Source organism: Homo sapiens, chromosome 2 (genome assembly GCF_000001405.40).
Source record: "Homo sapiens chromosome 2, GRCh38.p14 Primary Assembly".
NCBI lineage: Eukaryota > Metazoa > Chordata > Mammalia > Primates > Hominidae > Homo > Homo sapiens.
Genome location: NC_000002.12, coordinates 211,739,655 through 211,752,499, shown reverse-complemented (window position 1 = coordinate 211,752,499; position 12,845 = coordinate 211,739,655). Strand labels below are relative to the sequence as shown.

The 12,845-nt window shown below is 34.0% G+C and overlaps 1 protein-coding gene across 10 annotated transcripts in view; it reads left to right on the top strand.

Annotated features, from left to right (window-relative positions):
• Positions 1 to 12,845, top strand: part of ERBB4 (erb-b2 receptor tyrosine kinase 4) — a 1,163,086-nt gene that overhangs the window by 786,303 nt on the left and 363,938 nt on the right. For all 10 annotated transcript variants that reach the window (NM_001042599.2, NM_005235.3, NM_001439006.1 and 7 more), the window contains one exon: positions 1,796 to 1,861. In NM_001042599.2, coding sequence (NP_001036064.1) covers positions 1,796 to 1,861 — 66 coding nt within the window. The remainder of the gene's footprint in view (positions 1 to 1,795; positions 1,862 to 12,845) is intronic.

The following is a 12,845-nucleotide window of genomic DNA, read 5'->3' as shown; positions in this document are numbered from 1 at the left end:
TTTTTTTTCCAGTTAGGTAGTATTCTGGCCACAAAGAATAAGGCCAAATATTTTACAAGCCCCAAACATAATTAAATAAATCATAGATTAAATGGTAGATTATCTTATGCTTCAACTATCTTCAATTAACAGACCACTTAATGGATCAATTTAGAGGATTATACCAAATCTAAGAAAACACATTAACATTAGCTACTTTCTCATAAAAAAGTTTGTACTCCAAAAAGTTTTCACTGCTTCCTATTTTGTCTCACAGTCCTTTCTAATTTCCGCTAGTATAAATCAATTTAGATTTATTAGCTTTGTACAAAAGAACTCCTGTAAGTTTTTAATAATAATTATCATTATCACTGATTAAAGTTATATTGTTCAGGCCAGATGGAGTCCTTTTCCTGTCAGCTACAATGAGCTTGCATTATGTTGTTATAATGTGTTTGGCTCTAAATAAACAGATGGCAGAGTGACAGGATATTATACACTGGTGATGTCAGCGGCAATACTTCACAAATAGAATTGCTTTAAATAAACTCTGTTGTAGCAAAGATCCCCGTACTTTTAAGATGACTGGAATTGAACCTAAGTATTTTATTAACTTGGAAATAGTACAGTTTACTTTCTCAAAGGTAGACAATCTGAATGGTCTGAGATCCAGCCAGAGAAAGTGTCTTTTGAATCTGCATCTTAACCGTGTACTCATTTAACAGAATAGGCTCACTTTGGCAGTTTCACTGGAGGCGGGAAAACACTCCAGGTTGTAAGAACTTTCTGGTTGAGGAATTAAAAACTTGAATCAAGGAAAGATGGGAGCATCTGACGAGATGTTATTTGATGATATTTATAATATAGTTAACGTTGTTAAACACTTTAAATGGGAGAATCCTATTAACAATTAATATTAAACAATTGACAATGTTTAATAAGAAGCATTTAAGGAAATGTCATAGAAAACATTTCTGTTTATGGAAAAGTTTTAAGCTTTAATAGATTTTTAACATCTATATTTTATTCTAAAAATGTGTCATGTACCCACAGAAATTTAGAGTGAATCTATGAAATTCAGAAATAAGATTCAAAGGAAGTCGTTTTTATATGACTTCTTCCAGCTAATATTCTTTATTTTCAGTCCCGATGGGAATTTCTCTGTGGGACAACTACGTTTGTTGAGGCAAATACCTATGGTAGAAGAAGATGCCACTATAGGAGATTAAGGCTTAGAGTTGAAAATGCAAATAATGTTAATAAACATTTTAGAAGTATATATTAAAATAATTGAAATTAAGCTTTCAAAAGTATAGCTTAAATGCATGATTTTACCATTTATTCTAATGATTTTTCATGTGTTTGTAAAAATATATTCTTGTTCTCATAGATTTCCACTTATTTTTAACTGTTGCTTTACTTTTTAATATATGTTGCTCTCAGTAAGGTGTGATCTCTGGAAATTATATCAAGTAGAATAGATCAATAGAATAATAATGCTGAACAGTGAAAGTGAAACTTATTAACTATAATCATTTGCTTTTGATTTCCTGAGAAAATTCACAAATTCATTTATTTTATTTTCCTAAAAAATGATAAGAGGATTTGAATACCAGGAGGTTGTACTTTAGTTTCACATATGTTTGACATTCAGGTTTTCCTACTTAAGTGGGCATTTTATGGGCTATGTTTCAGCTCTAGTATGACATAAAAATCCTCATAAAGGAGCAGGAGTATTTCCTTTGAGGAGTTACTCCTAGTCAAGGAGTGAAAGATTATAACGTGCATGTCCTTTTTCCCTTTTCGTGTTCTGCAGGTGGACGTTGCCATAAGTCCTGTACTGGCCGTTGCTGGGGACCCACAGAAAATCATTGCCAGACTTGTAAGTGTTCATCAGTGAGAGCACACAGGTTTGATGTGGTCAAGGAATTTTAATGATTGGTCCATTTCATGCCTCTGGTCATCTAAAACATGAAATGAGCTATCACCTCCTTGTGGTTGATTTGCTTTGGGCCAAGAAAACTACCCGATTTTCATTGCTTTCAAATGAAAATTAATATATAATTGATTCTTAGGTTTCTTCGTGGTTTCTAGGTTAATGATCTCAACAGCACAGCTATGGTGATATTAGCTATAACTTTAGAGTTTTTACATCACTAGAAGTGGGAAATCCAATGTGTACAAAATAGTAACTCAATTTCAGGTTAACTGGGTCTCTCAGTCCTTTCATTAACTAGTTATTTCACTATTCATTCATTACAAAAGGAGAGGAAAGAAAAAAGAAAGGGTACTATGTACCCACTGTATTTTTCCAGGCACTGTTCCAGGCACAGGGATAAAAACTTTATGAATTATGGAAATAGTCACTATTTTTGACAATGACTATTGCCCTTAGTTTATACTGTTTCTTGGATTAGTCATTAGCTAAAGAAAATATGAAGCTATCATCATTGCTAAGACATATAGTAACAAAGCATACTAAATATAAAGACAAATAGCTATTTTTTTTTCAGCATTCTTAATGTTGTTTAGTACTCAAACCAGCACTGAACTTTCATGAAACTTAAGAATAAATGATTTCTTTAAAAAAGAAAAATAAAATGTCCTATACAAGTGGTAAACACTCATTCTTCCTGCTGCAATAAAAATGACTGAAATATGATATGGAAAAAATATAGTGACAAGTTGAAATATATTTCTTTGTTATCATAGATGATACAGAAAATATTAAAGATTCAAACATACAAATATTACACTCTTAGATGAAACTTTACAGATTTCTAATTTGTCTCAGTTCACATTTGTCTAGTTCTATTTGCTAGATTCTGTTTTAATAAAGAGATATAAAAGGATTATTTTATTGTGAACCACCAAAGAATAAAAATATAGGAAAAATATTTCCAATGATAAATGATTTCTTAAATTTATTAATTTTAATTCATGGGCACTCTCATATCCAAAATTCATGAAATGGAAAAGATTATAAGGTAAAATAGTATCTTCCCACGTGGGTCCCACCTTTTTCCCTCAGCTCTCCATAGGCAACAAATATTATTGGCTATTTTGGTGTATTTTTCCAAAAATAATTTATGCATACCCAAGGAAGTATGTATATAAGCACTCACCCCATTTTTCATTCAAATATTAGCATGTTTTGCATGTTGTACTACAGCTTGATTTCTTCAACCCATGCATGTGTATGAATTATTTGTAGTATTAATTTCTAGAGGTGAATTTGTAGGGTCATAGACATGTGGATTTGGAAATGGGTAGAGAACAGCAAAATGGAGATCTTATTTTCTATAGAGGTTGGATCAATTAGTTCTACCGAGAGCAATGTACATAAATGCCTATTTCCCTCCCTATTCTTTGGACGAAGTAGTTCATTAGGGAATTTTTGGATCTTTGTCAAAGGGTTAGATGAAACATAGTCAGTGTAGATTTAAATTAACTTATTTAATAGAAACAATGTTTTATGGCAGGAATGTATTGACAAGAATCTTAAACAGGCTTTTAAATAAGATGAGATTATTGTGTGAAATTCATTCACAATATTTGGAGATATTCTTTTAATAGCAAAGAATTGGAGGCTAAGTTGCATCCCAGTGCTGGTCTGACACGCATGTGACCATTTGCAGGAAGTCAAGTTCTCTAAAATAAGGAAAAATCTGCAACAGTTTGTGATGAAGTGGAAAGTAACCAAAGAGACTGTGAAAGTGCTAGATATCCACTGGTCATTTCATGGCAGAAAAAAACTACCGAGGTATCAAATTAAAAATGAGTTTTTACTCACTCACCTACTTATTTTATTTATTCACTTATTTATTTTACAGAGGGGTCAAAGAGGCTTCTGCAAAAGCTCCTTGTTGTGGCTGAGCCACTCTGGTGGGCCCAACCACACCCTGTCTCAGGCCCATGGGGTTCAGCCAGTACTGTTGAGGGACTCACCATAGATCTGAGGGAGGAAGGAGCTTAGATTTGGGAAACACTGGGGTGGATCCCTCTTCTGTTGAGTAGGGGCACTTAAGACACCCTGCTGTTGTGTTGTTCCTCCAGTGCTAGATCCCAGAACAAAATTACTTCCTCCCACCACCTTTCAGATTTCTCCTTTGGTTGCCTCTTGCGTTACTTTCAGGGTTTACAGTTGAATTAAACAGGTGGGAAGAAAAAGGTCTCTGCCATCTTTTCTATACCAGAAGTCTCATACAGTGTATTCAATAACACTATTAATTAAAATTAATAATACTATTACAATTAAAATAATTACTTTAATTATTATTTTCATCTGTGTCTTATTTTATGTGTATTTTTACAGATTACAAAATGCAGTGTATAGATTATATGTATCGATTTTACAGTCGTTCCTCCATATCACTGGTTTCCACATGGCAAATTCAACCAACTGCAGATCAAAAATACTTGGAAAAAAACAATTAAAATAATAAACAATTAAAAATAATACATATAAAAAACTATATATTATAACATCTATTTACGTAGCATTTACATTGTATTATGCATTATAAGTAATATAGAGATGATTTAAAGTATATAGGATGATGTGTGTAGTTTATACTCAAATATTATATGCCATTTCATATAAGGGAAGTGAACATCTATGGAGTTTGGTATTTATGGGGGTCCTGGAACCAATTTACTGCAGATACCAAGAAAGACTCTCTGTATACATATTATATATTATATATACATAGATGGTGAATATTTATTCTCAGATTGAGATATATGAGTAAAAAATGTGAAATTCAATCACTGTATTAGGGTAGAATGCAAAAAAAAAAGTTGTATGTCATTGATTATTAGGGTTTTCCCTAACTTTGATTGAAATTTTCCTTCAATTTATACAGTGCTAAAAATTCTGAACCTTTTAATTTATTTTAGTAGATCTGCTTCTGTTGGCTAAATTTCACAAAAGTTATAATTTCCACCAACATCTCTTATTTCTATAATAGACCACTTTCAGGATAATTGCCAAGCAGACACGTGGCCTTCTCCGAAAAATACCCCCTTCTAGATGGTCAGCCCCAGTAGCCATGTTTGTTTTATGGGACACTTTACCCTTTACTTCACAGGGCAGTGTTTATCAACCAGAAGTGATTTCTGCCCCACAGGAGACATTTGATAATTTGGGTTGTCATATCATGGAGGAGGGGTGGGAGGGATGATCTTCTGGCACTGGTAAAGTAGAGACCAGAGATGATGCCCTGCAATGCACAGGAAAGCCTCTTCCACCCCTACCCAAACAAAGCATTAGTCAGTACAAATAAAAATGTTAATAGTACTGAGGGTTGAGAAATCTTGTAATATGGGTGGATAATTGACTAGACTGGGCCAGTCAAATTCTCTCTCCAGAGAATTTAGATTTGGGATCCAAAAGTGCTGGTTACAATAACTTAGAAACTTGAACCTGAAGAGATGTTAAAGCTAATTGAGGTTTCCATTTTTGAACTACGTATGTTATTGAGAAGCAGAAAGAAACAGTCCCCAAAGTCACTAAAGAATAAAGCAGCCATACAGAGAGTTGAGGAAAGAAAGAATAACAATTTTTGACAATGTTTACCTCCTAGTTCTCTGGGTTCCGTGAGGTCCAGCTACACTGCTGTCCTTAGGTTCCATAAGAAACACGATGTTCTTCTAGTATATTTGAATGGAGGGTTTTTTTTTTTTTTTTTTTTGAGACAGTCTCCCTCTGTCACCCAGGCTGGAGTGCGGTGGTGCGATCTCGGCTCCGTGCAACCTCCGCCTCCCGGGTTCAAGCAATTCTCCTGCCTCAGCCTCACAAGTAGCTGGGATTACAGTCATGTGCCACCACGCCTGGCTAATTTTTTGTACTTTTAGTAGAGACGGGGTTTCGCCATGTTGGTCAGGCTGGTCTTGAACTCCTGACCTCAGGTGATCCACTCGCCTCGGCCTCCCAAAGTGCTAGGATTACAGGTGTGAGCCAGTGCACCCAGCCTGAATGGAGTTTTCTCACTTGCTACCAAACACAGGTGGGAGGAAGTCTTGACTAAGAAAATCATCAAGTTATAATTCATGTATCAAATCATCAGACGTGAAATTACTTAATTCAGCTAATTTTTCAGCATAGAAGCTATCCTTACTGTAATCCAAAATTGGCTTAACGGCCACTGTGCTTACTCCACAAAGCCTACCAAATTTAAACTCAACAAATTCATGGACCTAATAAGCAAGTACAAATTTTATTTTATTTTATATTATTTTGCTTTAGAGACAGTGTTTCACTCTGTTGATAGTGATGGGTTGTCTCTTTGTTGCCCAGACTGTTCTCAAACTCCTGGCTTCAAGCAATCCTGTCTTCTTGGCCTTCCAAAGTGCTGGGATTACAGGTGTGAGCCACCACACCGGCCAAATGTTAGAATAGTATACAAGTTAACATAGAACTTTATTAAATATTTCCATTTTAAAAATTCATTTTCACAATATTCCTGTGAGTTAAAGAGGGCAGTTACATTAACCCAATTTTACAATTGAGGAAATATAAGCAGAGGAAATGATTAAAGGGCTAAATTTACACAGCTAATACCTGGATTTTAACCTAAGTGTTCTTAATCTAGAGACAACTGTTTCCTGGATACAGTATTTTGTAACACAGTTTAGTAGTCGAGGAAGCTGGATTTGAAATTAGCCAAGAGATACAAATCTCAGTTGTTTCCAGTTTCTATCATGGGAAAATGACTTCATCTTTCAGAATATCATTACCATATCTATAAAATGGAGATAAGTATACTTACCTAAGGGTTTTTTTTGTTTTGTTTTTGTTTTTTTTCTGGCGGTGGAGGGTGGGGGGCACAATGAAATTCAACAATGCAGTTGAAGCTCTTAAATAATTTTTAATATATCCAAAACCCAATCAATAATAGCCGATATTATAATAAACTGGAAAGGATACTGTTAGAAAACTTATTCCAATTTAAATCTGAATGAATGAAAGTGGAAGGCAAACTCCTGTAGGCCAGTTCCACCTTGTGAAGTCTACTGACACCTGGTGGCTGGGACATGGAAGAGCAAAAACCCTGGAGTGGGGTTGGAGGCTGCCTGTCCTTGACATTCATTCCTGTCCTCTCTCTCTCTTAGTCTGAGCTACTTGAAAGCGAAATTACTTATCCATATTTAAAGAGCCCAGCATCCTGAGGCAAAAAGTATTTTGGAACTACTCAAAAATATACTTATTGTAAGATCACAATTTTAGAATTTAGGTTGTATTTTTTGAGAATTAGCTCTCACGAGAGATTCCATAACAATATGAGACCTCCAGAGACCCCATACAGTTGTAACACACGATTCATTTTTTTAAAGTCAGTTATTTTAGGCTTTCTCTAGATTTCCACTGACTCTTCTGTTATTTAAAACATAATATTTACTCTTAGGTCCACTAAAGATATACTTATATCTGACCCTGACTTAACTTTTAAAAAATCAGAAAACATGCTATGTAAGTTTTTGACAATATTCTGCTTTTGTGGATTGACTATATAAAAGTACATTTTAGAGTCTGAAAGATACAATCAGATGTTATTTACAAATGACCTATTTCCCTATGACTAAAATAAATTCACTTTAGTGAAGGCTTTTCTGGAAGTATTCAGCTTCATGATTTACCAAATATTTCCTTATTTTTTATGGATAATTATTCTTTGAGACTTTCCATACATTGGGGAAAAGAGAAAAAAGTATTAAAAAGCCCCACACCTCAGCTAAGGAAACTGAAGTGACGCATATATTTCATAGACTACACCTTATCAGTGCTGACATCTTCCCACAGGTGTCTCCTAGCAAATGTGCTGGGAGTTATCCTCTTTGTCACTAAATGGTGAGAAGCCACGCTAAAGACAAATGGCCCAGGCTCTGGGAGAACAAGTTCATGAAAATGAATGACTTGTTAGGGTGAAATGAAGCAAAGAGTGGTGATCAGATTGAAAACATCTCTGAATAGAGATACAGAGAAACAAAGAAGCCGGTCACAACAACAGTGAGCTTCAGGGAAGGTCTGTGGGAGGCCAGAGGTTTTAAACAGAAGAAATGAAGAAAAGGTTTTTGTTTTTGTTTTTAATAGATTTAGCTAAATGGAAGAAGAATGTGAACAAACCGACAACTTACTACGAACAACAGTTGGCTATGCAAACCTACCAGACAGAAATTTCAGTAAAATCTTTTATATTTTTAGTAAAAGTTAGTACATTTTCAGTAAAATTTAGTAACATTTTGCAAGTTATTTTGTGTACTTTTTTGGGTGCCACAGTTAGCTTGATTGCACGTTAAATAATTTAATTGTGTCATTGTTCCTCCATAGCATTTAATTATGTTCAGGCTATAAACTGTGAAACTAGTAGCTGTTTTTTTTAAATGTTTTCCTAACATATGAAATATTTTCTAGATAAATTATTTAAAACAAACTCATTCAACTTAAAGAATGTTGTAAATATTAATGTAAGTAGATTGTGCTTGTAAAATCTAACCAAGTGTTCCCCTCTTCCTGTGTTACTCATGAGTCTGATTTTCTAAAACATCATGAATTTATTCTCCTTAAATCCTTCTGGATGTTAGAGCACCATGACCCTATAAACCTAACAAGAAAATTTCTCACAGAGTTGCAAAGGGTCAAAATAGAACTTATGATTGGACACTGAGAGCTACGTTACATGTGGAGCAGTGACTCAAACTTGAAAGTACTTTTAAGCTCAGTTAAATGGTGGCTGCATTGCTCCACAGCACAGCTTAAGTAAATTGATTTAGTGGATTAATGTAGTCGTGTCAGGGGAGACAAACTTATCTGCTATGTGAAGTCTGAAGCTTATAGAAGTATTATTTAGCAGGCTTACAGGTAAGAATGACAACTCTCTCTATTCATAAGAACTGAGTCGTAACCTATGAGCTCTACAGGTTTTAGGTATGAGAGAGACTAAGGTTTAAGAAATAAATAATAATGATTAAAGAAACAAAGTTATCTCTGTCCCTGCAAGATATATGAAGCACACTTATCTCATTTAAAGTAGATACTGCATGTCCTTTTTTATCTTTAAGCACAATATCAGGCCAGCTCTCTCCAGTCTCCCATTATCAGAAAGGGTGGTTGTTTCATTTTACGCATTCCTTTTGTCCTGCTAGACCTGGTGTTATCTCAGTCACTGCATTTTGAGTGAGGAGGGGGAAAAAGGCATATATCCAAACATTACAGTTTGATTTTCCTGAACTTTGCATACATTTTGCATTAAAGTCATCATAATTGTGAAGTTTTCTAGGCTGATAACCACTCAATACACTCTTTAGTTTTCTAAGTTGCTTTATAAGTGATGTTTCTTGCTGATAAGCTGATTGAAAAATGTGAGTTTGACAATAGGTTAAAAACATTATTTATTGTAGAAGTTGAAATACAGCAAAATTAATGAAGAAATGCATACTTTAACCACTGGAGTGAACAGATACACTTCTCTCCATTTAAATGTCTAATTTAAATGTCTCCATTAAACTGACTAATGCATTACTTTAACCAAAAGAAAAGTTCTTTTGATGGGATTTACCTCTTGCTTCTTACTTACTTATGATAGTCTTCCTAGACTATCATAAGTAATAGAACTTGCCAGGTTATCTCAAAATCTTTTTTTTTAATTAAAAATAGAATAATAGTAAAATAAAGATAAGCACTGTATTTTTTTCTTGTAGATAATTGTTAATATGGGTAGTACTACACTGGCAAAATAAAACCTTTTTCCAAACAACATTTTATGTCATTTACTTTTTCCATACAGACATTATAGAATATGCTAGGAAAATTTAGAAATTATTTAGCATTTTCCTCAGTAATTTATTATGCTTGGGCATGAAGAAAATTGGTTTTAACATTTGCAATATATTAAAAGTTTCAGTTTAATAGTAAAGGGGAAAAAAACAAAACCTTAGCCTGGCTTATGAATTTTATTTATTCTTAAGAAAAATGTCATACATATATACATGTCCTTTTATTTATTCAAAAGTATATCTGGAACTCCTTCGAAATAGAATAATAAAATCTAACAAAATGATTATATATTTTTGTTCCTCAAAATTTCAACAAGAAATGTTGCAGTTGAAAATTAAATTGTATCTTTCTCCATGAAATTTTCAACAGTTTCCTGTAGAATGTGAAAGCAAAATGACAAATTATTTGGATAATAAACTAATTATACTCACACACATGCGTACACATATAATTTGTCTAAAGTGTAATTGTATTTACATTCTTTGTGGAACAAATGTTGTTTAAAAAGAAGGTGCCGATGTGGTAAATATCCAATTAGAGCAGAGAAAAGCAAGTGGGAGCTAATGGGGAACAGGGAAAGAGCTGAGCCAGCAGGCCCCATCAATCAGGATAACAGCGAGTCTTTGTACACGCCAACATCTTTAATTAAAACCCTTGTATTTTACTAATAACTTTGCACATCCATAAGCCTTCTTATTGATTTCAATTATTCCCATTTTTCCTTTTTTGGATTTATGGTTTCTGGAGATATTGTAAAATTAAAGTAAACATTACAATGAGCTAATTACTTGATTACACTGACCATTTCAAAAAGTGCCCCAATAATTTACCGGTAGAAAATGAGAAAAATCTTCCCTGATGTGTTCTTCATTTTGACATAAGTTGATAATATTTGTTGTAATTTAATGACTTTTCTCAAAGATTTAAAAGAACAAGTTGTTTCATTTTAACTACAGGAGATGTATATATTTAAAATACTCTGTATATTACAGTTTAATGGGATTCAGGAGCTATTACTTAATGACAAGCCAAGGGCTTCAGGGGCATAAAGGTATATATAAAATTGTTCCTGTTCTGTGGCCATACTGTGGGTTAGATACAAGACAAAGGTGAGGAATGTTGGAAATGATCAAAAAGAATATTAAACTGGGACATTAGGTAACTAGAGATTTGGTCCCACCTCTAACTCAATTTAAGAACCTCAGTTTCAACAAGTTCTCTTATCTTTCTCTCTCTCTCTCTCTATCATCTGTCTGTCATCTAGTGTGTGTGTGTGTGTGTGTGTGTGTGTGTATAACTACATATATAGTTATAGATTATACAGATACAGATATAGATTGAGAGAATGGAAACTGTGGGGTGTTGTGCAGATAGCTATTCTAAGCAGAGGGATCAGAAAATGAATACTCCACATTTGAAGGATTACTAATAGGACATTGAGAAGAACAGTCAGATATATCTGAAAGTTCTACCAGTAAAATAATTTTGTTATTTTGGTAGTGATGACAACTTATTCTGAATTATTTGTGTCTTCACAGCAGAAGAGCTGACTGTCATTAGAGTAACTATATTTGACTATCAAAGAGAAAATTTCAAAATTACCTACATGTGACATGCTTCTGATGAATAGGACAGCCATACTATTTTGGCTACAGAAATGGAAAGAAGTGTGAGATTTTATTCTAGGAAAAGCAAGCACTTACATACCACTCTAACGGTTTGAGAATTTAGCAAGCATGAAGAAAGATATTCTCCTTAAAGTTTTGCCTTAAAATTATTGAAATGTATTATATTCTTTTTCAAATTAATCAATTTGGTTAAAGAAATAATTAAGTAGGCTGGGCGCAGTGGCTCACGCCTGTAATCCCAGCACTTTGGGAGGCTGAGGCAGGTGGATCACCAGGTCAGGAGATCGAGACCATCCTGGCTAACACAGTGAAACCCCGTCTCCACTAAAAATACAAAAAATTAGTCGGGTGTGGTGGCGGGCGCCTATAGTCCCAGCTACTCGGGAAGCTGAGGCACGTGAATGGCATAAACCCTGTAAGCGGAGCTTGCAGTGAGCCAAGATCACGCCGCGACAGAGGGAGACTCTGTCTCAAAAAAAAAAAAAAAAAAAAAAAGACAAAGAAAAGAAATAATTAAGTAAACAGTATAGGGATGAAAGAGGATAGGAAGGGGTACAGTACAGAGATGAAAGAGGATAAGAAGGGGTAACTGGATACAGGTCAACTTTTCTTGTGCCAAGCCACGTTTTTGTCCATTATATTAAAATAAATGTGAGTTCACTAAATATCAGACATGTAAAGATTTCATTTCTGAAGCCAATATAAATTTTATATATTACTCAACAATTTATAATATTATCATGGCTGCATCTCTCCATTACCATGGGCACTTTCCAAAGAAATAGTCACTCTATTAATTTATGATGAGTTATAAAAACATACAAAAATATTTTAAAAAATAATTTGTATATATTACTATCTCACTGAAGACAGTTATTTTTGGTCTATCTAAAATATTTTTACCCATGAATTTTGTTATAACGGAGCTGATAGAGCATTATGACCACGGAAATACCTACAAGTTTTGTTCTGATTTCAGTATTTCTTGAGTAACTGTCACACAGGATAATTATTTTCCTCTTTAATAAGGATGTTATATGTATTTAAGAAGTATGTAATTTCATTGACTAGAAAACAGAGAGGATGAGGGAACAGAAAAAAAGACAGATTCTGATGTTAACAACTAGTTGCTGATAATTTAAAAGAATCAAGCTACAATATTTCACCAATATGTAACCACAAAATTAAATGAATAGGGAACTACTGCATTCTAAGATAGAAATGCCCATGCTTTGAAAATGTCAGTTTTTCTAAAATTAAGCTATATTTTTAACTATATTTAATCAATTACCAATGCTTTCTTTTCTAAAGAATATCTTAAAAATACATTTAATAAAATAGCCAGATGAGGCTGGGCGCAGTGGCTCACGCCTGTAATCCCAACACTTTGGGAGGCCGAAGCGGGCAGATCACGTGGTCAAGAGATCGAGACCATCCTGGTCAAAATGGTGAAACTCTGTCTC